The 26,685-nt window shown below is 34.1% G+C and overlaps 1 protein-coding gene across 43 annotated transcripts in view; it reads right to left on the bottom strand.

Moving 5' to 3' along the window:
- The window catches only part of CHD9 (chromodomain helicase DNA binding protein 9), a 272,507-nt gene that overhangs the window by 86,566 nt on the left and 159,256 nt on the right, over window positions 1–26,685 (bottom strand). For 42 of the 43 annotated variants that reach the window (XR_007064921.1, XM_047434707.1, XM_047434693.1 and 39 more), the window contains 9 exons: window positions 18,177–18,288; window positions 14,420–14,566; window positions 13,468–13,536; window positions 13,329–13,384; window positions 11,832–11,949; window positions 9,427–9,513; window positions 9,148–9,285; window positions 5,626–5,747; window positions 2,346–2,589 (listed from right to left, as the gene is read on the bottom strand). Coding sequence is in view for 42 of the 43 variants with exons in the window: in XM_047434707.1 (XP_047290663.1) it covers window positions 2,346–2,589; window positions 5,626–5,747; window positions 9,148–9,285; window positions 9,427–9,513; window positions 11,832–11,949; window positions 13,329–13,384; window positions 13,468–13,536; window positions 14,420–14,566; window positions 18,177–18,288 (1,093 nt within the window). In the remaining variant the exon portion in view is untranslated. Of the gene's footprint in view, window positions 1–2,345; window positions 2,590–5,625; window positions 5,748–9,147; window positions 9,286–9,426; window positions 9,514–11,831; window positions 11,950–13,328; window positions 13,385–13,467; window positions 13,537–14,419; window positions 14,567–17,424; window positions 17,477–18,176; window positions 18,289–26,685 lie in introns of those variants that run through there. The other variant, XM_024450461.2, reaches the window with a different exon arrangement.

Genomic DNA, 26,685 nt, shown 5'->3' with positions numbered 1-26,685 from the left:
TTAATCCTGGTTTTACACTGTGATTTTGGGGCAATCTATGCAACTTCTTTAGCCTCAGTTTTCTCATGGGTAAAATGGAGATAATACTATCTATTTTACAAGGTTGATATTACAAAGATTAAGTGAAATAATATATGTAAACTGTTTAGCATAATGCCTGGCACATGTTAAATACTTGATAAATGTTTGTGGTTATTAGTTTATCACTTCCATTACTTTTCCCAGGGCAATTTAGAAAAATTTTAGCATGATTTTAGTACTACTGTTATTTCAAGCTATTCGATAATGTAAAAAAAAAAGAAGTTAAATATTCACTTAATTTATATGAAAATATATTTAAAAGAGTTAATTCTAAAAGTCATTTCTATATTTGAAGTGCAGATCTATTTATTTCATTATAGGAGACATCTTTATCTTTTGAAATTTAAAACCTCTTTAGGTAATATATATCTAGAATTTGTAACATTTATCATAAAAATACAATATTTAATATATACAATTCAGTTTATTACATATCAAGAATCTTCCAGGTTTTTGGCTATCATATTTATGCCAAACTCATGTGACACATATATTAAAATTGTAACTTTGTTAAAAATCTCTGTAAGTCTCAAGATATTAGTTGTGCTTTCTATAAAAAATGAGAATGTCAAATTAAATCATTTTTATGACAACATACAGCTCTAAAATTCTACAAATGTACGAGTAAGAATAATGAAACACTAGACCAGGTGCAGTGGCTCCTGCCTGTAATCCCAGCACTTTGGGAGGCTGAGGTGGGAGGATTACATGAGTTCGAGACCAGCCTGGGCAACAAATTGAGACCCTATCTTCACAAAAAATAAAATAATTAGCCAGGTGTGGAAATGCACTCCTGCAATCTCAGCTACTTGGGAGGATCACTTAAGCCCAAGAGTTTGAAAATGGATAAATTAACTGATTTTGCTCCTGTAACCTCATTTTGCTTCCTACTTCCAAGGTTGAAACAATTACATTTATACGAAATTAAGCATCTATATAATTAATTATTCTTCAATTGAAAATAGTCACCTTTGCACCTTTGGAGTCCATGATATCTTAATTAGATTATAGATTGATTCTTTTCCTTTTTTTAGGGACAGGGTCTTGCTGTCACCCAGGCTTCAGTGCAGTGGTGTGATCACAGCTCACTGCGGCCTCAAACTCTTGGGCTCAAACAGGTAGAAAATCAGTTATCATTGGAAGACAAAAGTAGAAGGCTATGCACATTATCTTACTTCAACCTCTATCATATCACATAACCTGGCCATGTATAATAATGATCCTTTTAGAACAACAGAATGAGGGAAAGAAAAAATACTAAAGTGCTTTTAGTGTAGGGTGCCAGGAGATAAACCTTTTCCATTTAAAAAGTACAGTTTTTTTGTGAATTTATTGATTTTATTGAAATATTTTAATAAAATGATTCATATGAACATTCAAAAACCATGACTTGAATGTTTTCTTTTTTAAAAAATATTTTAATTTTTTCGTAGAGATGGGGTCTTGCTATGTTGCCCAGACTGGTCTGGAACTCCTGGCCTCAAGCAATCCTCCCACCTCGGCCTCCCAAAGTGTTAAGATTATAAGTGTGAGCCACCATGCCTGGCCTATCTTTTCTAGTCTTAACTTTCTGCTAGAAAATTCTTAAGGTGTCATCTCTTTATTTTACAATCTATGTATTTAGAAGGGATAGGAAATCCCTTCCTAAAGAGTAAGTGGTCAAAGTAAAATAGAAAATGCTCCTCTAAAATACATGGAGAGAGGAACATCATCAAACCACTAGAGTACTGAAATCATCATTCCTAAAAGATGGAGGTATACCTGTTTTGGTAAGCAAAACAAACAACATTTTAAAAAATGTCTAAAATAAAAATCCATTGAACATGAAAGAGAACCTATGGTCTCACCTCAACAGGCATTTAAGCCTGTGGTATTAGTGAGGATTTAAATTTTTTAAATGACGGGAAAAAAGCTGGACAATGATCAGAGACAGTTAATACCCTAAAAATAAATCTAATGTGTATTTAAAAACAATTAGTAAAATTATTATTCTAGTTGAAAAATTAAGGATTACAATGAAACTCGTGCATTGTTTAAATCTGCATACTTCATTATAGTGAACTACAGCATTAAATTGACTTTTCTCATTGTTCTCTTCAGCTGCTCAAATTTACTGTAAAATAAAAATGATGAATAAAAGAACTTAAACTAAGATCTAGGTAGGCAATTAAAATGTATCCTAAATTTGAAAATAATTGGTAGGTAATGCTTATCTTTTTCAGCCCTGACCTTTCAAACAACAAACAAAATAATCAATAACACACCTGTGAATCCCTGAAGTACATCTCGTATTGCTGTATCATTTGTCTGCTAATCAGGCTCCCATGATAAACCACAACGTTAATATCAGTCCACGTACGAAATTCTCTCTCCCAGTTTGCAATAGTAGAAAGTGGAGCAATAATCAGGAAAGGTCCTCTTATACCAGTCAGAAGGATTTCATAGAGGAATGTAATTGATTGAATAGTTTTGCCAAGACCCATTTCATCTGCTAAGATGCAGTTTCGTCTGAAATAAACAAATACATTATCCATGCATACATTGGGTTTTTTTTCTATACTTTAAAGATAAATATACAAAAATAATCAAAGATCAAATAAAATAGTTGCATTTATAAAAATGTAAAAGTTGCTTAAGTGCAGGGTAGGCTTAAGATTACAATTTTATTATAAACCTGCAAAGGCACAAAGATTTCTATAGCTCCAAAATAAGGATACCACCCATTAGATGTCTGATTTTTTAAAAAAGAAAAGGGAAGGGCAAGGCCAACTCAATATATTATTTGTTCAGGAATCATTTAATAAATACCTTCTGTATCTCAGGACAGTATGAGAAGATGGGATACAAAAGAAATAAAACATGTTCTCTGCCTTTCAGGGGTGTGTATCTATTACAGAAGCTGACATGCAAATAAATAAATAGTCATGCAATGTGCTATCACTGAAGCACAGATAAAGCACTGGTTTTCAATTGTGGCTGCACATCAGAAGAGCTTACAAAGCTTGAAAAAAAAGATACTCAGGCCCCTCCCCTATACATTCTGATTCAATGAGTATGGAATAGGATAAAATCAGCTATAATTTCAAAAATAAGCTTCACAGATGATTATGATATGTGGCCAATTAAGAATCATCAGTATGGTTTATTATGGAGGCTCAAAAGAGTAAGCCTCAACTCTGGCTAGAAGAGATGAGAGAAGACCTCTTTCAGAAAGGAGGTCAGTAATGAGTAGCATTTTTGCCAGAGAGCACAGTGAATGAGCAGAAGTGTAAAGAACATGATGAACTGAAGGACCAAAAGTTGTTCTATGGTTTGGAGGGGAGGGTAAAAGGAAGAGAGATTATTGAGGTAAGTAGGGTCATAAATAGAAGACATTTGCCATTCTATTATGCAATGGAAATTACTGGAACTCTTCAAACAAATCCAATAAGATTAGGTTTGTATTTTAAAGTTTACTCTGGTGCTATTGTGGATATTAGAGGTTGAGGTGACTAGAAGTTGGGACAGTAACTGAGAAAGTACCATTAAGTGCAGGGAAGAAAGTGTGGGCACCTGGTCTAAGAGAGGAGAAACTAAGAGGAGAGAACTTTCCAGAATTAATTATGGGTTAGAATAAAATGGACCTAGTTACCAAAGTATGGGGTGTAGGGTGAAGCCAGATTTCAGTTTGGGTGACTAAATGAATTGTGTTGTTATTAACCAAGATGGAAAATACAGAGGAAGAACAATTTTGATGGGGAAGAAACAGGAAATAATATTAATTTTTAATCTGTTGTGTTTAAAGAATCATTGAGATAGACACTCAGGTAGCAAGAGGCAAATAAAAATATGGGCCCAGAGTTCAAGACCTTAGATTTAAAAGTATGGGACTCCCCGTGAAGGCACGGGGAGTATAGAATATGGCTTAGGGAGAACAAATGTAATATGAAAAGAGAGCTAAAGACAGAACCCAAGGCAGGCAAACACAATATCTACAGGGCAGGCAGAGGAAGAACCAGCAGACTATTGAAAGGAATAGTCACAGGTACTGCAGAGCTAGGAGAGAGTCACACTGTGGAAACTGTTGGAGTTCAGAGTGAGGGGAATGTTTAAAGAAGGAAGGAGTACCAACTACTAACCAATGAAGCAGAGAGCAAATTAGGGCTGAAAAATATTTCATGGATTTGGAAAGTTAAAAGTTTCAGAGAATGCAGGGGAGTTGGGGTGGGGGCAGTGGTGGTGGTGGTGGTGGGGGGGAATGGGGAGACAGAGAGAAAGAGAAAGAGAGAGAGAGAGAAGCAGAGCCAAGAGAAGGTTTATTTTAAACTCAAATTTGTTCATAGACTGAAGGGATGGCAATAGTCTTCAGGGATGGCCTGGAGATATAAAAGAGAAGGATAAGTGATTGAAGTAAGGCTCTAAGGCTCTAAGAAGACTAGATGAGATGGCATGTCTGATACATGAGGGCAGTGGTAAGAATAACTGTGGATGAAGATATTAACACATCTGTAGGCTTGGATATGAAGGCAAGCAAGAACTTGGATGAGTTTACCTACCATCCCCGGGTTTCTCTATGAAGCAGTCATATACAGAGAGTGAAGGGGGCAGAACTGTGATAAAGGGTTTCAAGAAAGTGGTGAAAAGTTAAAACAGGCAATATAGGAGATGGGAAAGGGTACTGATGAGGGAAGACAAGTTAAAAAAATGTTTTGTCAACTACTTTTCCTAGATGGTTCTCTTGGGAAAAATGATGATTAATATTTGGAAAATATAAATCAGGGAAAAGAGCACTGTGGGGATAACAGGCCTCTTTCCATCGACTGAGTCCATGACTCACCATCACTAAGCATAACAATTCAGAAGACTCACGTGAAAAGTAAAAATGATTAAAAATGATTCTGAATAAAAGTATCATCAAATTTTGCTATTCTTACTAACAGTAGTGCCTTTATTTGCTCTTTTGCATATGTAACTACTATGCTTTCTCAATCGCAGTAACATTTTTTTACTTCTTTTGCAATTATCTTTTCATGTCAAAAAAGAATGTAAGATATTCTATAAGGCATTTTGAAAACCTTGAAAAACAGATAATAAAAATGGGGTAATTAATTACAGGTTCCCATATTTTATATTCCATTCCTTATCTATTGCTGACAACCTACTTCTTTGATAATTTACATTAAATGATAGAGCTTTAATTCCTATAAGTATACCTTGCTCATAACTCACTAACTCGAACTGATTGTTGGCAGACAGTAGTACGGGTTGATAAGCTGAAAAGCATTATATAACACAGAAGGTTTCTTAGGACTCTTGGAAAGGTATTTCAAATTTAAGTATTAATCAACATACCAACTTTCTTCTATTCTGATTGGTATACATTTAAAGAAAACAATTGTAGTTGAAACCTAAGTTGCAATTTACATATGTTCCTGAGGTAACCTCACTTTAAATAATGAAGACTTCAAAACAATAACAATATAGCAACAACAGTATCTATTTTACTTGACACATTTTGGCACACATTAAAAAAATAAATTTTTTTTATTAAGATATACTACATACCTATTGTACCAATTGAACAAGAGCCAGTTGAGTCCTTCCAGTTGATATTCCCTGAGTTGATTGCCATTTTTATAGTCCCTGGATTGATCTATTTTCTTCCAAATATTAGAAGGAGGACGGTCCTTTGTGGAAAAACAAAGAATGAATGGTGTTTAAATCTTCCATATATCATACTGAAGGCAAAAAGCATTGGTTTAAAAATAACCCTAAGAGGCATAACAGTGTACAGTGTTATGATTAACTTTTACCTAACATTTAAAGGTCAAATTAATTCTATACAACTCTTCCAGAAAACTGAAGAGGAAGGTATATTTCCTGACTCATTCTATGAAGCCCTGATACCAAAATCAGACAAAGACATCACCAGAAAACTACAGACCAATGTCCCTCACGAACAAAGATGCAAATATTCATAATGCAATTTTACCAAATGGAACTTAACAATATATAAGGGCAATAAGATCATGACCAAGTAGGTTTTGTTTTTTTTTTTAACCAGGAATGGAAGGTGGGTTTAAAGTAGAGAATTAATCAGTGCTGATCAACAGATTAAAAAATAAAAATCAGCTGAGTGTGGTGGCTCATGCCTAAAATCCCAGCACTTTTGGAGGCCAAGTGGGGAGGATCGCTTGAGATTAGGAGTTCAAGACCAGCCTGGGCAACACAGGGAGACACAATCTCTATTTAAAAAAACATAAAACATAAAAAAACCAAAAATAACATGGTACTCTCAGTAGATGCAGAAAAAGTATTTGAGAAATTTAACATCCACTCCTAATTAAAACTCATCAAATTTTGAATAGAAGGGAACTTCCTTAAACTGTTATAGTACAACTATGAAAAAGCCAAAACTAGCATAACATTTAAAGGTGAAAGACTGACTGCTTTCCCCCTAAGATCAGGAATAAGGCAAGGATGTCCTCTGTGACAACTTCTATTCAACATTGTACTGCAGGCACTAACAAGTATAATCAAACAAGAAAAAGAAAAAGAATAACAAACTGTCTTTATTTATATTATAGAAGACATGATTTGTCTATGTAGAAAATCCTGTGGAATCTGCCATGAAAGCTAAACTAAGCAGTAATTTTAGCGAGGTTGCATAATACAAGATCAATGTGCAAACATTGTGGCAACAATCATGAATATATTTTTAAAAAACAATAACCATTTTATAATAGCATCCAAAATAACTTTTGATATTCATGGTACAAAACATTTCTTTCAAAAGAAATCTAGAAGCATAGAAGTGAAACATTATATGTAAAAGAATTTTATTCACTTATATATAGATATATAAGACATAAATTTTCTGAAGATTCCTGAATGAGAATTCAAATAACATTATCCTGGCCCCAAATGAGTAGGGTCTCAGTAGGAGAAATAAGTTTCTGAGAAACAAGCAAAAGGTCTCCCATTGTCTTCTGCTTTAAAATTATACTGTTACTAATCAACAAAATTACACTTCTAAGAATTATCAGGATAATCAGGTGTGATATTGTGAAATATGTATTTGATCTTCATTCCCATTTCCTGGCATACAACTCCTGATATCCTTGGGTTCCCCAAAGTGCTGCTTGTTTGTGTGCCAATATTCCTGACTGATAGATTCAGGTGGGGCTGGTCACCAGAAGGACAAAGGCATGATTAGAGGGGAGAAGGGGAATGGGCAGAAAGGAAGGAGGGGAGGAGGGGAGGAAGGAAGGAAGGGGAGAAGGTCAAGTTGATCACCAATGGCCATTAGATGATTGAATCAATCATGCCTACATAGTGAAGACTCCATAAAAACCCAAGAGGACAGGGTTTAGTGAACTTCCAGGAGCTGAACACTTCCAGGGAGCTGAACATGTGGAGACTGACAGAAAGGTGAACAAGAACTCATCCACATGCCAGGAGAATGGCAAACCCCAACTCTACAGGGACAGAAGCTCCTGCACTCAGACCTCGCCCTATGTCTCTCTTCCTCTGGCTGTTTGTTTGTATCCTTTAAAATATCCTTAGGAATAAACCGGTAAAACTTGAATGTCTTCCTGAGTGCTGTGAGCTGCTCTAGCAAATTAATCAAACCCAAAGTGGTGGGTAATGGGAACCCTAACTTGAAGCCAGTCAGTCAGAAGTTCTGAAGGCCCCTGGACTTGTGACTGGTGGAAAGGAGGGGGCAGTCTTGTGGGACTGAACCCTCAAGATGTGGGATCTGATGCTATATCTGGGTAGATGGTGAATTAGAGCTGGGTAGAACTGAATTAGAGGACAGCCAGCTGGCATCCACTGCAGAACTGACTGCTTGCTGGTCGGAAGAATTCCCCACATATTTTGGGGTTACAGAAGTCTTTTGTGTTGATTGTTGTGTTACCCTGAGAGCAGAGGAAAAACACAGTTCAAGAAAGCTTTTCTTAAACATCAGGTAAGTGTATAGTAATTGTACATGGAAAACAAAACAGGCTATCAGTATACTGAGAACAGGACTGGTTATTGAAGCTCTGCTGCTACTTAATACAGGTGTTTGCTAAAGAAAACATTTTTTAAGTGATAGCCAATGAACATTAAAATAATTAACATATATTTTAACTGCTGCTTAAAATAATTTCTGCATTAGATCATATTCTGTATAGCTTCTTTTCAGCAATCCAATCACTATTAATGATTCATTAGTTCGGGTCAGGGAAAAATTTCATTTACAGAATCTCAAAATACTTTACGTGACTTATATGCTATTTTATTTAACAGCAGTATACTGGCAAAAAGAAAGGAAAACAAAACAAAACAAAAAAACACCTCCTACATTATTTAACCATGACAGACTAGCCCTGTTGTCATCAATTTTACATTAATTAAGGGGATTAATTCTATTGGCTGAGCCCCCTTTACCAAGGCCTATAACATATATCTAAGGCATCTCTAATTTTTGAAAAGCTCCAGAAGAGATTCTGATATGCACCTTTGACTGAGAATCACTTATCTAAAGACATAGCTTATTCAGTGAGGCTTAATATTACCACTAAGGCATAGACCCCACCCCAAAAGAAAATCTTTCTCTTCTACTACATTCCTTGACTCATTCCTCTCTGAATTAGGTGACGCTTCTGTTTCCTGGTTCAAGGAATAGCATTTAGAAGGTAAAAGGAATGGGGGTAAACTGATATGCTTTTGTTAACAGCCTACGGACATTACTGGAAAATAAAGTAAGAAGACCAGAAAATAATACTAGGAAGATCAGAAAATAGTTATTATAAAACAATATGATCTCTTCTATGGAATATTTAATTCATTTCCTTCTCTTACTTCACATCTCCATGTTTATCAGGGCAGCTTTCCTCACTCTCGTGCTAATCAAAAAGGAATCTGCTCCTGTCTTTTCACATATAAACTCCCTCTTAAGCTTTGGCTCCCAAAACTAGACTCACATAGTAACAAGCCTGTTTAAAAGAAATGAAAGTAAAACATTATATAATTATTAGCAATATCATAACTTACATAAACAAGTGCTAAGATTTTATAAAGCTGTCTAAAACAGGTTCTTACCAAACGTCTTGTGTCAGGCCTTGAAGCTTGCAGTTGTTCAAACTCTTCTATTTTTGCAAGATCTACATCTTCTTTTAGTTCCCAAGTACTATCTTCATATGGCAATGAGCACCATTTTACTAAGTAGTAAATAACAGGCTGTAAAAAAATTTTTTCATTTACCATTTTGAAAAAGACACTAGTAAGAAATAGTTTAAACAGAGAATAAAGTACTAGGTCTTAATACTTGGAAAGTTTCAGATTTTTCTTACTTAAAAAATCTTTTTACCATATATTTACCTCACCAGTATCCTTATCTTCACAAAAAGAGACTTCTAATACTCTGTCTACTTCAACGTAGTCTGGGTTAAATGGTTCTTCTTCCATCTAAAATTAAAAGGTAACTTAATTGACATCTGACAAAGAACTGGAATGATAAAAGTAAGGACGAATTTACTAGCATTTCACTATAGACCTTGTAAGTTTGATTTCAGTTAAATGTCCAATAAATGGAATTCTTCCATTTTCATTTCCAAATGATAGCTAGGATAACATGAAAAATGTTATAAATAATAAAACCAAATAGTACTAAAATATAAGGTACTCTAGAAGATACGTGCTTTAAAAAATGCCTGAAAGCAGCCTCTATACCTTTCCTTTACGCTTTTCCTCAGGTTGCAAGAGTTGAAGACCATGCATCATCCCATTGAATGCTCATTTCTGTTGTCTCACACACCCTTTATCTTTACCTGATGGTTCTTGTGCTCAAGACCCACTTATTGAGCTGACTGCAAACTTTACTGAGGTACCTCAAACTCATTTGCACTCATTTACTCTTCAACCCATACCTCCTCCTGCATTTTCTAATGGTTAATGGTAACAGAGCTTCCTCTCCATAGCCCACGCTCAGTGACACAAGCCAGAAATGAAGAAGTCATTTTAGATTCCTTCTTTTTCTTTACCCTCTACATCGAGTAAGTCACCAATTCGTACAGACTCTATTTTAACTCTGAGATTGGTTCCTCCTTCTTCATCCTCACTTCTTACTTGAATCTTTAAAATAACCCCAACTACTGTCTCACCTCCCCTTTAATGTTTTTCACATTGTCCCCAGAGTAATCTTTCTCAAATATAAATCTTATATATCGCTCCTTTACTTAAAATTCTTCACCGACTCTCCCCTAATTAGTCTTAATGAAAATTTAATGATTATTACTTAATTCTAAAATCTTCAGCTTATTAGGAACTTCTAGATCATAGTGAAGAGATGACAGATATTTAAGGTGATGAGAGGACCTCCCAGCATCCACAAACTAACAGGTCATTAGAATCATCTTTTTTTAAAAAAAATAGAGATGGAGGTCTCATATGTTGGCCAGGCTGGTCTCAAACTCCTAGCCTCAAGTGATCCTCCCACCTTGACCTCCCAAAGTGTTGGGATTTCCGGCATGAGCCACCATACCCAGCCCACATTTTTGAGGTGAAATTAATAATTACAAATGGAATAATAGTAATTATGTAGTGAAGACATCTGGCAGATACCACCTTAATCTAGTGATTAACCACCAGTACTGGGGTACAGAGGTATCATGTACCATCTTATATCATTCACTGGAAGAATAGAGCATCACTTCTATGGTGTTCTTTTAAAAAATGCCTAACCTGGATCATGACGAAACTTCATACAACCCCAAACTGAGGGGCATTCTACAAAATGAGCTGTACCCTTTAAAATGTCCAAGAAATGAAAAACAAAGAGAGACTGACTAAGAGATATTACAACTAAATGTAACATGTGCTGCTGGATTAGACTCTGGACCAGATAAAAATAAACACACACACACACATACACATGCACACATACACACTCTCTTTTTGTTATAAAAACACTAGTGGAACAATTAGTGAAATATGTGTAAGGTCTGTGGATAATAGTACTACATTGATGTCCTACTATTTTGATGAAAGAGAATATAGTTGTTTTTAGGAAATATATACTAAAGTGTTTGCAATGTTAAAATGGTTTAGAAAAATACGTGTGTGTATGACAGAGAGAGGGACAGAATGAATACAAATGATAAAGCAAACATGGTAAAATGTTAACATTTCGGAAATCTAGTTAAAATAAATGTGAGAATTCATTGTACTATTTTTGTGACTATTTTGTTTAAAAGAAAAAGTTTTTAAAATTTTCAAATTAAGAATTTAAAACTGCTCCAAAAGGAGTCTATTAGAAAAATCTGGAGCAGGAAAGAACATCAGACCATTTAGTCAGGCCTAGAGAGGTAAATTTTTCCAGAGGTTCTGTTCACATACATGAAGCTAGTATAGAAAATATGCAATATATTTCATGTACTGAAAAATCTTATTTTCCATTTACTTGCTAGATTATCACTTCCTCCACTTGAATAACTTTGCTGATATATTATTGGTAATATTACCATACTCACATTCAACTCTAAATGTTGAAATATATGCTAGTTTAAAAATACAAGCATGATCTACCATTCTGAATTATCAGTGTTCCTGTTTCAAATGGTTTCCAAGCTAATTTTGAGAAGAGAAAAATACTATATTTAGGTAGCATTTGTATTCAAATATCAACACTGGAAGTCTAAGAATTAAAATAATGTGTAATTTTTGATAAATAATGCTACATGTATTCAGAGACCAACACATAATAGTCTTATTTATTTTTTTCTTACGTCTGCAAAAAAATGTGCTCTTTGTGCTTGTCTCAATTTGAATCGTTTGATTTTCTGCTGGATCCTTTTATCTTTCAAAAGCTGCTCTTCTGTGGCCCACTCACAGTGAAGATAGGAGCTAAAATTTTTATAAAAATAATATATTAGAATGACACAGATAACCATTTTAAGATGTATTTTAAATCATAACATCCAATATAAACTATTGTCTTCAACTTTTCAAATAGGTAGTTCATCATTTAACTTTAATAGAATTACGATCATTTCTAAAATAAAGTAATTGTGATCACTATATGCTAAGGAGGTCGTAGTCTAAAGGTATACAATTTGCCATATAGAAACAGAACAGTAAAATGATCAAAAGTCTAATTGCAAGATACGATTTATCTATTATTATTTCCCTATAACAGTTTTGTCATTATCAGAAAGCTAACTTGTTTTGAAACTAATGTGATTTAAAACGCTTTCGAGCTTGCAGTGAGCCGAGATTGCGCCACTGCAGTCCGCAGTCCGGCCTGGGCGACAGAGCGAGACTCCGTCTCAAAAAAAAAAAAAAAAAAAAACACTTTCATGGAGGTACAAAGATAAGTTGGAAAATATGTAAAAAGAAGAGTAAGTGATTTTTCCCCAGTTAGCAACTCATGAGTTACCTGACCTTTATCCAAAATTAAAATTAAAAACTTTAAGGTCAAATCATCTCATTGTGTGCGTCTGACATAAAAACCTAAAGATCAGGAAAAAAAAAACTTTTTTTTTTAAAGAGATGGAGTCTCACTATATTGCCCAGGCTGGCTTCAGACTCCTAGGCTTAAGAGATCTGTATCAACCTCCAGAATAGCTGGGACTGTAAGTAGATTAGAAATGTATTTTATAAGGACAATAAAATCTGAAAAGTTCAACAATACAATGAATGCTGTCTATAAATTATAAAAGCATATTTTATAAAGATTCCTGCATTTTGATGTTAATAATGAACATTTTCTGGAAAATAAAAAAAATTTAATTTTTTTTTTTTTGAGACGGAGTCTCGCTCTGTCGCCAGGCTGGAGTATGGTGGCACGATCTCGGCTCACAGCAACCTCCACCTCCTGGCTTCAAGTGATTCTCCTGCCTCAGCCTCCTGAGTAGCTGGGACTACAGGTGCGTGCCACCACACCAAGCTAATTTTTTTGTATTTTTAGTAGAGATGAGGTTTCACCATGTTGGCCAGGATGGTCTCGATCTCTTCACCTCGTGATATGACCGCCTTGGCCTCCCAAAGTGCTGGGAATACAGATGTGAGCCACCACACCTGGCCAAATCATTCAATTTTAACATGAAAGGTTTTCAAATGGGCCCTTTTCCACTTTTTAATGATTCTTGAGTTATGCAGGTATAAATAATAAAAATTATCATAAAAATGTGGATAAAATGAAAATCATAATTTTAATTTATTAAATATATTAATTTATATGTAAATCAACATCTTTCTTTTATTTTTCTAACTCAAATACTTACTAATTCTTGTATTTTACAAAAAATTCTTCTGTATCAATCATCACTCCAGGTGATATCTAAGAAAAGAAAATCAGTAATGGTGACTCTTTTAAACAGGCCACAGAATATGAAGTGTAAAATGTAATGTACCAGTACTTACTTCCTTTTTTACGGTTCTAGAAGATAGAATTTTGTCTACAATTGCAGCATCTTCTTCACTCGGATTCTCCTATGGGAGGGAGGAAAGAAATAATGACAGAACACATTCTGAAAGATCTTTTAGTTGCCACTTTGTATGTTGATGAACATACTACAATTCAACAAATATTTATACAGCATATATGCTAGACACTATGTTACGTGTTAGAAATACAAAAATGAAAAAAATATATCATTGTCATTGTCCTTTTCATCACCTGCATTATCTCTGTAGCAAACATATTGTGCTTTTTAATGTGCTGGTCATTATTCTAAGCATTTTACATATATTAATTTAATCTATTATCTTCATTATTATCATTTCCATTTTACAGATTAGGAAATTTAGGCATAGTTAAATAAGTACTTGCCCAAGGTACTCAGCTAGTGGCTGAGTGGTTGGGTCATAATGCATATAAGGGGGACTTAAAAAATCATAGACGAGGGAAGCACATATGGCATTCAGGCAAACGTGTTCATAAAACAGAGGACTAAGTGCTTATGGAGAAGTAGCAGAAGATGACGCCAGAAAATCCAGACAAAGGGGTTTATACACTGCTAAAAAGGTATCGTTATTTTTGTAAGGTTTAGGAAACTATTAGAGGAGTTTTCAGTAGAAAAATAATATGATTAAACTTGTAATTTAGAAATATTCTGCAGAAAAGATAGTTTGAAGAATTTCAAGAACATATATTTAGGAGGTAGAAAGTGTAGTGACAACCTGAATGAAGAGGCAAAGGAAAATGAAGAGAGAATGAATCCCTAGGTTTCTAATTTGAATGACTCAATTAACTAATAATATGGAATCCGGAAGGATAAGTTAGAGCAATTTTTAGTAGGAAAAACAATGCAAGTATTTATAGAATTTATGTCGGTTTAAAATGTTTTGCAGTCATAATCCCAAATATGCTTACCACAAACAATTGTAAAGGCTGTTCACCAGGTAAAGGAGCTGAATTCTTTTTTATTTTCATAGAACCTTTAACCTCTTCTTCAGATTGCTTCCCTTCTATATCTTCTGCGTATTTTTTTCTTTTAATTTGTCGATTTGATCTTCTTTTCTGTAATGAACCACAAGAATCAGATTTATATAATTTATTTTGAAGAAAAGTTTTTGAAAATAATTACCCCTAGAGTTGGCAATTTTGTATATTAAATTTTCAACATGACACTCAATGTACTATCTTTTCCTATTTTGTTTTTAATTAGAGGAAGATTATAATTTGCCATTTGCCACAGGCTTACAATCTTCCTACAGTTCTACTTCCTACAATTTCAAACAACAAATATTAGTAATACTTTTATTATGTTAATTTGGAAATCATTAAGAATAAAGAGATGTCTGTTTTTTAAAAAAATTATTTCACAGGTTGGGCAAAATATATTTTATTAGGAATACCTTTATTACTACATTACTTTTCTTTAGAAACTATTGTTAAGAATAAAAAGGTATCTGTTTTATTTAACTATGTCATAACTTGGGCAATAAATATTTAAACTATTAATAATTTCACAGTTTTAGTCCAAAACCTAAAAAGTGTATCAGATGAATATTGGGTATAGAATTAATTGGGGGTATAAATCTAGAAGAATAAATTAAATAGTGTTTGCCAAAACACATGAAACTGTGTTTAAAGCAGAATAACATAATATAAAATATTTAAAAAGAAATGCACAAAATAAGAAAGCATTAAATCTACCAAATAATTTTGAATGAAAGAAGAAACTGTTTCACTAACTTTAGTAGCTTTCCTTAAATATAAAAGACATCACTATCATCACACAAAACTAAGCCTTTTACAAAGTATTACATGTAGTAAGATAATTTTTAAATAATCTAAGTAATTTTAAATCTGGAATCAAATATACATGGCTTTACTTACCTCCCTAAATATCTAATATTTGTTTCAAAAGTTTTATATTTCAAGGAGAACTTAAAAAACAAAAACAAAGTTACATCTCTTTTGGTGTTTACAATAAAGATAAAAATTTCAAAATCCCAAAGGGCTTAGGTTTATTTTTTAAATTTCCCTTGTAATCTCATGGGGTAGAGACATTTCATGCGGGTAGTGGCATCTCAACCAACTGTTCAATTGCTCAATATTTGGCAAATCTCTTCTTTTTTCTAGTCCAATTTCTTCTATATATTTAGTAACTTCATGACACTTCCAAAAAATGGAACCAGCAAAATAAACCACAAGTTCTTCTGGTTTCTGCCTGTCTTCTATTTGGCAAGTCTTTAATTTACCTTCACAGCCATGACAAAAATGGCTGAGTCACTGCTACAGTGTGGTGACAAACTATATGCATGCAGTCATGCCTCTGCCCCTTTCTCTTGTGAGTAGTAAAATACTGAGAGAAAGAAAGGCACTCATATGGTCAGCCAAATGTACTAGATAACACCATGCCTCATGTAGGATGGGTCGAATGTCTCTTGGCCATGAAGACATTGACATTTCAAACCTCAAAATAACACAGCCTGGTGACATATAAAAATTCTAATTAAAGGGCTACTAGAAACCCAATTTTCCTTCATCCTATTTTGAAAACGATATGAATTACTATTATTCTCTAGGAGGGGGGAATTCTATGGATTTCTAACACTAGGCTAAAAGAATATTTAGAATTCTATTATGGGCACCATATAGATCTTAATGTTCAAGAATAGTTTTAATTAATAAACAACTGTGATATATTATCAATGTCTCATTAGGCATGACTTTTAAGTAATGAAATTTGAGAATAGTTCAGTACATTTTTAGAAAATTCTGTTAGAAGTTTTCAGCATTAGTTTCCTTTCTGGCCACTTAAGACATCTATTAGTACTTAGAGATAACTCACTGAGTTTTTAGTAAATAGTAAATGAGTGACCTCAAAGAATCTTTTAAGCTCACAAAAGTGCACTCAGATAGAATGAAGGCTACTTATTGTAAACTGTTCCCTCATCCTACAAAGACTTTGCCTAACAGATTAATTTAAAAGTCTATGAATTATGAGATTATAGAAGATTTTACCATAAATTACACTCCACTAGAGGACATAGTTACACATTACTTAGGTAAAGCCAAATAAGGTATCATTCTCACCAATTATCTTTCTTCACCATAGAACGTCGCTACTAGTTTAAAAACATAAAAATGAATCTTATGTCCACATTTTTGGCATGTGCTTTTTCTGGCTTTCTTTTTCCATAATGTTTTTTAAAGCACAACTTAAAATCCTGATAAATTGTCCCTTTTAATTTCTTATTTTTAGCTTCTTAAGTCTTAAAGGCTTCAACAGATCAGCCCACAGCACTTTACATAGGAGGTTAGAAGCACGTTTTAAGTGACTAATATAGTACTTCACTATTTTAACATTGCACTTCTTTCCTATAATATTCCTAATAGTATACTCTGTTGCAGGGGCATATTTCTTTTTAATTTAGGTCTCTAAATATAGTTGGACTACTGTAATATTCTCTATTAAGATTAAAGGTAACAAAATTAAATACCAAATCACATTTTTAGATTTCCAGCTGATTCCAAACCTTAATTAGTTTCCAACGTGGTTAAAAGCTACATGGATCTTTCCATCATTTATTTAATGACACAATCAAATATATCAATAATGTAGATTTATAACTATTAGAAAATATTTTTACCTTCACCATTTTTTGTGTGTGTGTTAAAGCAACACACCTGTCAAAACAACCTAATACTACAGTGAAAAACATGGAAGAAATGTTCATGTTGACCTAGCCTACCATGTCATTGTTTGAAAATTACATAATGGAAAAATGGCCAGCATTATTCCAGCAAAAATTAAACTAAATTTAATCATATGGAATAAGTTAAATATAAGTTTGCCTAAGTTAAGGATAACATATGATGAAAAAGCCAGGCCATGTAATATTAGGAGCTTCAGTCACTGCCCTTACCTCAACTCTTGCAGCAGCCCAGGAGCCTTGAGCCACTACTCTCCCATTGGATAAGAAGCTGCATAAGGAAGAAGAAAGGCCATTCAGGGGCTTTCTGGCCCCATAATTCACAACTGCCACCACCCCTACGGCCTACAGTCATACTTTAGTTATTAGAGAGCAGAGGGTGGCCTGGATTATTATGACCTTCACTATATATAATTTTAACTTCAGAGGGTTATTTTGAATATCCACCTATTCAAAAAAAAAAAAAAAAGGCAAAATGCATAGTATTTCTTCTGTCTATGTTACGGGATTTTTAATATAGTCAGTTATCTTTTCTTCACAAAAACAGACCAAAGGAATTATTTCTAGGAATGATTCAATCCATTTGCTCTGTCATTTGTATGTGATTTAAAAAATTACTATGTCCATCACGTTCATTCAAAAGAACTCTATAAGCACAGGATAGTATCACTAAATACTCCTCCATGCTAAAAGCCATCAAGGACTTTGTATTGTTAACCTCTCTGGGCTTCAGTTTCATTATCTGAAAAATGAGGGGTCTGGAGAGGATATGTTAGTTTCCTCCCACATCTAATATTCTATGGTAATATTACCAGGACATATTGTAATAATGCTACCTTCAACTTCTACCATACTACAAAATGTATTTTTACTTCTAACTAAAGTGTAAATATCTATAAGGCAATATTATGCTAACTAAATCATTCTAACAGTGTTTCATTTCTAGAAAAAATTGTAATACTCACTTGAGAGTCTTGATCTTTTAATGTATGCTGTGGCATCTGTTCTGCATCAGATATTTCATCTGAAGACTCATTCTTTCTTTTTTGTTTCTTACCCAATGTAATAATGAGTTTGCTGTTTCAAGAGGAAAAGAATAAAAAGTATGAATTCTTTGAATTTTCCTAAATTTGATTAAATTAAGATTGTCATGATAAACTTTCTTCCACTTTATATCACTTGCATGTCCAACCAAGGATGATAATCATCCTGAAATCCACGTTGACATTTTCAAAACATAAACTCTATTCTAATGGAACAAACACCATCCAATTCTATGTTTGGAAGTATAATTAATGTACTCAGAAGTACAATTAATGTACTTCTAAACACAGAAAGGCAGTCAAGTAGGCCAGGCGCAGTGGCTCATGCCTGTAATCCCAGTGCTTTGGGAGGCTGAGGCAGGTGGAAAAAGGTTAGGAGTTCGAGACCAGCCTGGCTAACATGGTGAAACCCATCTCTACTAAAAATACAAAAATTAGTCAGGCGTGGTGGCAGGCATCTGTAATCCCAGCTACTTGGGAGGCTGAGGCAGGAGAATCGCTTGAGCCCGGGAGGCGGAGGTTGCAGTGAGCCAAGACCGCACCATTGCACTCCAGCCTGGCAACAAGAGCGAAACTCCATCTCAATGAATAAATAAGCAAACAAGCAAGCAAACAAACAAATAAATAAATAAATTTAGCAGGTAAAAAAAAAAAGGCAATCAAGTCTTATTTGTTTTTTAGGCTTAAGATTACTTTTCATAGGAAAAATGTGAGGTGATACAACTGTGTTTACTTTATTATCTTGCAGATTTCCAATGACAGATTTTTTTCTCTTATTAAATTCATATTCCACTTGATTCCTTGAATCCCCCTATTCGTTAAAAGCCTCTACTTCCTTCTGCTCTACAGTAGAAAGACAATTACTTAAGGCACTTTAACAATTTGTTGTTCTTTAATTCTTTCACTTATGTTAAGGCTTATCTTATCTGTACTGTATGTTCCTAAGCATAAGAACTATTATTTTTTATATTCCTAAAGCATGTATGTGTCAGTATATCGTCATATATGTATGTTTATATATATATTGATATTTACATATATACACACCAGATGGAGCTATCTAAAATGAAAGTGGGTTTTTTTGTCTTGATGAGAGGTATAAAAACATAACTCTCACATTTCCTTATCTGCTTCAACAGATGCAGGGGCATGATTTTAAACCACGGTAATTATTAATCAGCAACGTACTATTTTAAATATCTGTATTATAAAAATGGAAAATCTCCCCAATACTTTCAGGTATGATTTATCAGAAAGATATCAGAATTCTTTCAACAACTATTTATTAATGTAGGAGAATTTGGAGGTTAAGAGCATGCACTTTGAAAACACAGGGTCAAAGATTTAAACCCTGACTCCACCATGTACCTATCTGTGAGACATTGGGCAAATTACTTGATCTCTTTTGGCCTTAGTTTCCTTGCCTGGAAAATAGGGATATCATAATAACTACATCTGCTGTTGCTGAGAATTAAGTGGGATAATGTATATTGGCTCTTAGCACAGTCTTGATGCATAGTGATTTCTCAACTAATGCTAACAACTTCTAATTATTCTATGCCAAGCACTTTCCTAGGCTCTAGGATTTGAAAATATAGTGACACAGTTCCTAACCTTAAAGTATCATAGTTAGACTATGATCACAGCTAAAATGCCAAAGTGGGGGTTAGCACAGGATGCAATGTGAACACAAAGGAAGAAGTGCTCACGCTTACTGAAGAGTAAAGGGGGCTTTACAGAAAAGACAACATTTGATATGATGAAAAGAAGTTTAACAGGTAGTGAAAGAAGCGGCAGAGTACATTCCAGGTAGGGGGATACCACAGAAGAGTGAGGAGAACATGCAGTGGTAATAGCATGACAGGAATACACAGAGTACCCCAGAAGGAGGCAGCAGACAGCTGGACAACCAGAATGGGTGAAGATCACAGAAGGCCTTGTATGACACACAAAGAGTTCACATTTTAAGGGCAGCTTTTAAGCTCTTGAGAGCAAGAATTTAAAAGGAATCTGTCTTGTTCATCACTGGCAGCAAATGTTTAATGAATAGGCAGTGAGTTATTTTGAATAAATAAAAAAAATAAAGCAGTTGGAAGATATAAGAATTGTAAGCAAGGGGGCAATGTGATGACAAGGAAGTGAAATGCAAGGAAGGGAAACCGATGATAAGGCAAATGACAATTCAGGGGAGAGAAAAAGATGGTAATCTAGGGCTGTGGGAATGTGGATGAAGAGGTAAAGAAAGATATAATTTTTTATTGTGGAAGTAGAACCAACAGGACTTGGTTATTGACTGGATGACTAGACTTCAGGTGAGAAAAAGTTATAGAATGCTTTTTCCCTATATTATTCTTGTATTGGTATGATTACCACATTCAACAGAATAATGGTAATTCTTACTTGGTGTCTCACCCGCCACTGTTCTGAATATGTGAAGAAAGTAAATAACAGTAAGAAATACAGCTTATGTTGGAAGCAGGAAATCAGAAGAAACACAAAGATATTCTGAAGCAACATTAAGGAACCAACCATAGTTACACTTCATTCCCTCTCACCACTTTCACTGCTTATTTCCTCTCTGTTCTAGTCCCTTTTCCTCCTCTAGTTTCTTTCCTAAAATAAAAATCTCCCTTGAGGCTATATTTACTGTTAGACCCCATATGACCTTGTTCTTCCTCCTTTGTATCCAAAGTTCTCAAGAGTCATTTCCGTTTCATTCCTCAACCAACTATAATCTCAACTCTCAAAACTACTTTTAATATTCATAGCTTCCATTTATTCAATGTTTACTATGAGTCAGCCTCTGTGCTGACTTTACATGCATTCTCTCACTTGATGTTCATACAATTTTAAAAGGGAAGTACTATTATTTTATAAGAAGAAATTGAGGCCTAGAGAAGTTAAATAACTTGCTCAAAGTCACAGAAATAGTAAGAACAGAGACAGAAACTAAGTATGCCTCACTCCAAAGCCTAAACTTCTAATGCTTAAGGACTCAAAAGACTTTTAAAATGGCAAATCCAACAGAGCTTTAAAAAATCATAATGTGTAACTAAGTCCTAACGTGTAACTGTTTCCTTTTGGCCCCTTTCTTGGCTCCCTGACACAAGAGTCTTCTGGTTCTCACTAAACTTGCTTTTACTAAATTTTGGCTCTTCTTCCTGCATCTACGCCTTGAATGTTAGTTTTCCGTAGGATTCAGTCATTGACAATTCTTCTCTGCTAGCCTGTTAAACTTTGGTTTCTCTCAAAGTTCTGTCTTCAGCCGCCTTCCTGTCTCTCCCTGAGAGATTTAATTTAATCTTTTCTTAACTACTACCTAGAAGTTAAAGATCCTCAAATCTCTTATCTCTATTTCAGATTTTTTCCCCACGCTTCATGTTCATATAACTAATTGCTTATTACACATATACATATGGGTATCTCATAGGTATCACAACCTCAATATGCACCCAATCCAATCTCTCATTTTCCGTAACCCTATCAGTGCAAGTTTACTAATATTAAAGTGTAATGCAAAGTCAGAAAAGTGCAAACGTAAGAGTACTGCTCAATTTTCTCAAACAGAAAATATCTGTGTAGCCAGCTTCCAGATCAAGAAACAAGGCATTAGTTTCCCAGAAGTCCCCTCTCATGCCTCTCCCAGTACGAACCGCCTCCTAAGGGTATCCGTTACTTTGCTTGTGAATATTTGCTACATCCTAAGGCACTGGTGCAGATGATTTTTAATGGCAAAGTAAGGGACAATACTAAATAAAACTGGGTAGTAAAAATACATATTTGATACTTCCTCCTACTTGCTATCAATCTCCAACTTAAATGTGTATTTTCAAATAGTTTGTAGATGAGAACAACACACGGAGAGTGTAGTTGTTTAAATAACAATCTCCCATGAAATGGAAATCATGGCCTATTAATACCCTTCATATATTGCTTAAAAAGGTATTTTTTCAATGTTTGATAAGCTAAATGAATTACGTGAATGCACATTCTGATGCAATATCTTATTCATTCAAATCCCAATGAATAAAAACTTCAATGAAATGAGAGGCGGAGATATTTAAATTTTTTTAAAATTTACAAATGACTATGAACTGGTTCCGCTATTCCTTTACAATAGCATAAGGGTTAATGATTAAATGAAGATTCTCTAAGGACAAAGGACTAAGCTGCTTAAACATTTTTATAGATAAATATTACCTAAATCTCTAGAAAATACTAATAAATAAATACTAACTACCAAATAAATCTTAAACACTTGCCCTTTTGAGTGGTGGGGTTAGGTTAGATAAAAATGTTTCCCATCACACCTCAGATAAGCCTTTTGTTATACTAATTATTTGAAAATTTTACTTAAAAACAAAAAAACAACTTTCACTTTATTTTCCACATATTCTGTATTATTCTTCCAACATTGTTCTACATGTCTGGAATAGCATCTTATTTCATGAACTCATTAGTCATTTTTAACAACCCATGCAAAAATCGTTTTCAGATTCTAACTTTGTAAGAGATATTTCAGATATATAGTATTTCCCTACTAAACCTTCTAAATCCAAAATGTTACACGTGCCTTTTCTATTTAAAAAGGGTACGTTTCCATGATAGGAAAAAAGTCAATTCTGAAATCATTTTTGACTGATACAATTCTGGGTTAATTTGGGTGGCATTTTAAAATTAGATTTTAAAAAACCCCAGTAATTCTGAATTAAAAAAAAAAAGAAAGAAAGAAAGAAAGAAAGAAAGAAAGAAAGAAAGAAAGAAAAGAGTATAAGCCAGGCGCAGTGGTATGCACCCGTAGTTCTAGCTACTTGGTAGACTGAAGTGGGAGAAGACTTGAGCCTAGGAGTTCGAGGCCAGCCTGGGAAACAAAGTAAAACCCTATTTCTAAAATATTATAATTTTTTTTTAAATAAAATGATCTATCTATCTAGAGAGAGAGATTTTAGAAATAGGGTTATTTACAATGAACCTTGAAAACTGTAAACCTTACCAATTTATTATAGATTCTAAAATGGTATCTAGGTAATATTACAGAGGCACAATTAATTAGGTTGGTGTCAGATCAGCAGTGCCTAAGTGTTTGGGGAAAGCTTCATGAAAGCTATTTAAAATACAGATTCTAGACAGGTGTGGTGGCTCACGCCTGTGATCCCAGCACTTTTGGAAGCCGAGGAGAAAGGATCACCTGAGGTCAGGAGTTCAAGATCAGCCTGGCCAACATGGCGAAACCCCATCTCTATTAAAAATACAAAAATCAGCTAGGCGTGATGGCACATGTCTGTGATCCCAGCTACTTGGGAGGCTGAGGCAGGAGAATCGTTTGAACCTGGGAGGCAGAGGTTGCTGTAAGCCAAGATCTGCACCACTGTACTCCAGCCTGGGCGACAAAGCAAGACTCTGTCTCAAAAATAAAATAAAATACAGATTCTTTATGAGAAAATGCCCAACAAACTCAAATTGATGTACATTCTACAGAATAACTGGCCAGTATGTTACAAAAATGAAAACATCATAAAAGAAAAAAGTCTGAGGAGCTATCCTAAATTGAAGGAGACTAAGGAGATATGACAACAAAATGAAATGTAGGATCCTGAATTGGATCCTGGCCAACAAAAAAAGGGGAACCGACAAAACTTGCATGAGGTCTGCAGATTGGTTAACAGGATTATTAAAATGTTTATTTCCTGGTTTTGATAATCATGCTATGGTTCATAAGATGTTAACATTTGAGGAAGGTGAGTGAAGAGCTTAAGGGAACTCTGACCTATTTTTGTACTTCTGACATTACTTCAAAATAAAAGTAAGAAAAAAATAACCCATCCAGTTTTGTGGGTCCCAAACCCAGGATTCTGATCTAAAAACGACTCTAATATGACTTTTAAAATATTCCCTAAGAGTTCTGGTGCTCTACCAGGTTTGGGAACCACTGGCTCGGAGAGTAAAAATTAGTATAGAAAACTCTAGAAACAAATATTCAGAATAATACAACTATTTTATATTTATAGAACACTTAAAATTTTAAAGTGCTTTTGCCTACAGTACCTCAGTTGATTCTGAGAAAAACTCTGAGACAGGCAAGGCAGGTAGGTATTGGTCCCACCATACAGACAGGCAGTGTTCAGTTCCAAAAGATGATCCCTTTATTCTCAGATTATGAGTTCCAACATACCTTATTGATTTTAAAATAAAATGACACATATACTCCAACCAGTTAACAGATATCTAATATCAATTAACATAATGACAAAAGAGAAATATGAAACTATATTATCTTTTAGTAAATTTTAAAGATTAAAATTTACCTGACTTTCATAAAATCAGAAATCTCTATTATGTATACAATGACAACAGATAGCCATAAATGTTATCTGAAGGAAATCAGATGTTTCAGTAGCAGAAAAAATAAAATCAGTTAAGCAAAACACCCAATTGCTATAGAACACTCCATTCTTCCATCATGGATTACAAAGAGTTTACTATATTAATTCTAAAATAAAATTTCATTATAAATACATGCTTCAAATAAACTGATAGTTTGCTAGTCTAAGGAGAAATATCCCCAAAGAAAGCAACAAAGTGATACAGAATATATTAATAATAAAAAGCTTTATGCAAATTTTGGTCTTGAAAACATTAAAAGGATCTGTTATCAATGTTAGCAAAATGTAGCAACAGATACTCAGGCAAGGAAAAAACCTAAATATCAAAACATAGGATGTTTCTGACAGCAAAGGGCAATTTCAAACTAAAGTATGAATTTGAAATGTAAATTCATTTGATAAGTATAGGCAGTAGAAAACCACAATGTTTATACTTAATATGTCTATATTTGATTTTCAGATGTAATTTATGCACTTATTTCAATCCTGCCCAAGTGTTAGTACTACTTGCTGTGCAACAAGCTGTGTTCTACACTGCATCAATCTGTAATTGCCCCCTGTTGATTCTCTCATTCCAATAATTGGACAAACAATGAATCTTACCCAATTAGTCCATTTGTTGTAATTAATACATCCAATTCATCATAAGAGAAAAAAAAGGCAAAAATATAATGTCACATTATTTTTTCTTTGCAAGCTCAGTGAAAGGTACTGAGCCTATTTTTAAGTCCTCAAATATAAACTCAAAACACACACACACATACACACGCTCAGTGAAATGATGCCCATTTAAAGTTCAACTCAAGACCCCAAGCTTAAACTCATCTTAGAAAAACAAGCATGTATTAAAAGGGAGTTAAAACTGTAATCCTTAAATATGCGAAAGTTACATTGTATTATAAGCTTTTGGGAACTTAGACTATTACTTCCTGTTTAAAGTTGGACATCCTTTTTCAGAAAGGCTGAATTTACTGATGTATTTAATGTAAGTAAGAAATAAGGATCCAAGTTGTTAGCTACGTATTAATCAGCCAATACATTTATCAGCACAGTTGAATTCTTAACAGATATGTATTGTTGGCCGGGCACGGTGGCTTATGCCTGTAATCCCAGCACTTTGGGAGGCCGAGGCAGGCGGATCGCGAGGTCAGGAGATCGAGACCATCGTGGCTAACACGGTAAAACCCCATCTCTACTAAAAAGAAATACAAAAAATTAGCCGGGCGTGGTGGCGGGCACCTGTAGTCCCAGCTACTTGGGAGGCTGAGGTAGGAGAATGGCATGAACCTGGGAGGCGGAGCTTGCAGTGAGCGGAGATGTGCCACTGCACTCCAGCCTGGGAGACAGAGTGAGACTCCGTCTCAAAAAAAAAAAAAAAAGATATATATTGTTTTTTACGAACATCTCTGCAATCAGGAATCATTTAATAATCAATGACATGCCATAGTTTTAACTGGCAATATTTGTCTTCTACTGACACATAAAATTAATGGTGTGTCTGTTTTATAATCAATGACACTTTAGATTCAATAAAATATGGTACATCTATTTGTCAATGATAAACCTTACTAGCATGATTCATATAAAGGTACCATTCTTAAAAATGAAACTGTAAATCTTATTTGAAATTCGCAATAAGTTACATACATATCAACTCTTTCTGAGGATAAAGATGCTTCAGATTTTTACTAAGTTTTGTAATTTACATGCAAGCAGTAAAATCAGCAAAACATTTTATCTGCTTGGCTTTAAAAAAACCGTAGAACTTACAGGGAGACTACTAATGGTATGCCTAATAATAAAAAATTCATAATAAATTTAAACCATGCATTTTGACAACTGCTCTTTCGTTTATCATACACCAATAAACAATTAACACATTTATATTTAATTCGAGCATATATTATTTCAAAATTCCTATTATTTTGAAAACCTTGCAAGCAGGGCTTCATACGTCACTTTATTAACAAGAACTATGAAGTGACAATTTCTAATGATATGTCTTATTTTTCCCTCAGATTTTGTTCATCTTATTTTTCCTTTAGATT

Source organism: Homo sapiens, chromosome 16 (assembly GCF_000001405.40).
Source record: "Homo sapiens chromosome 16, GRCh38.p14 Primary Assembly".
Lineage (NCBI taxonomy): Eukaryota > Metazoa > Chordata > Mammalia > Primates > Hominidae > Homo > Homo sapiens.
This window is presented reverse-complemented; position numbering and strand designations above follow the sequence as displayed.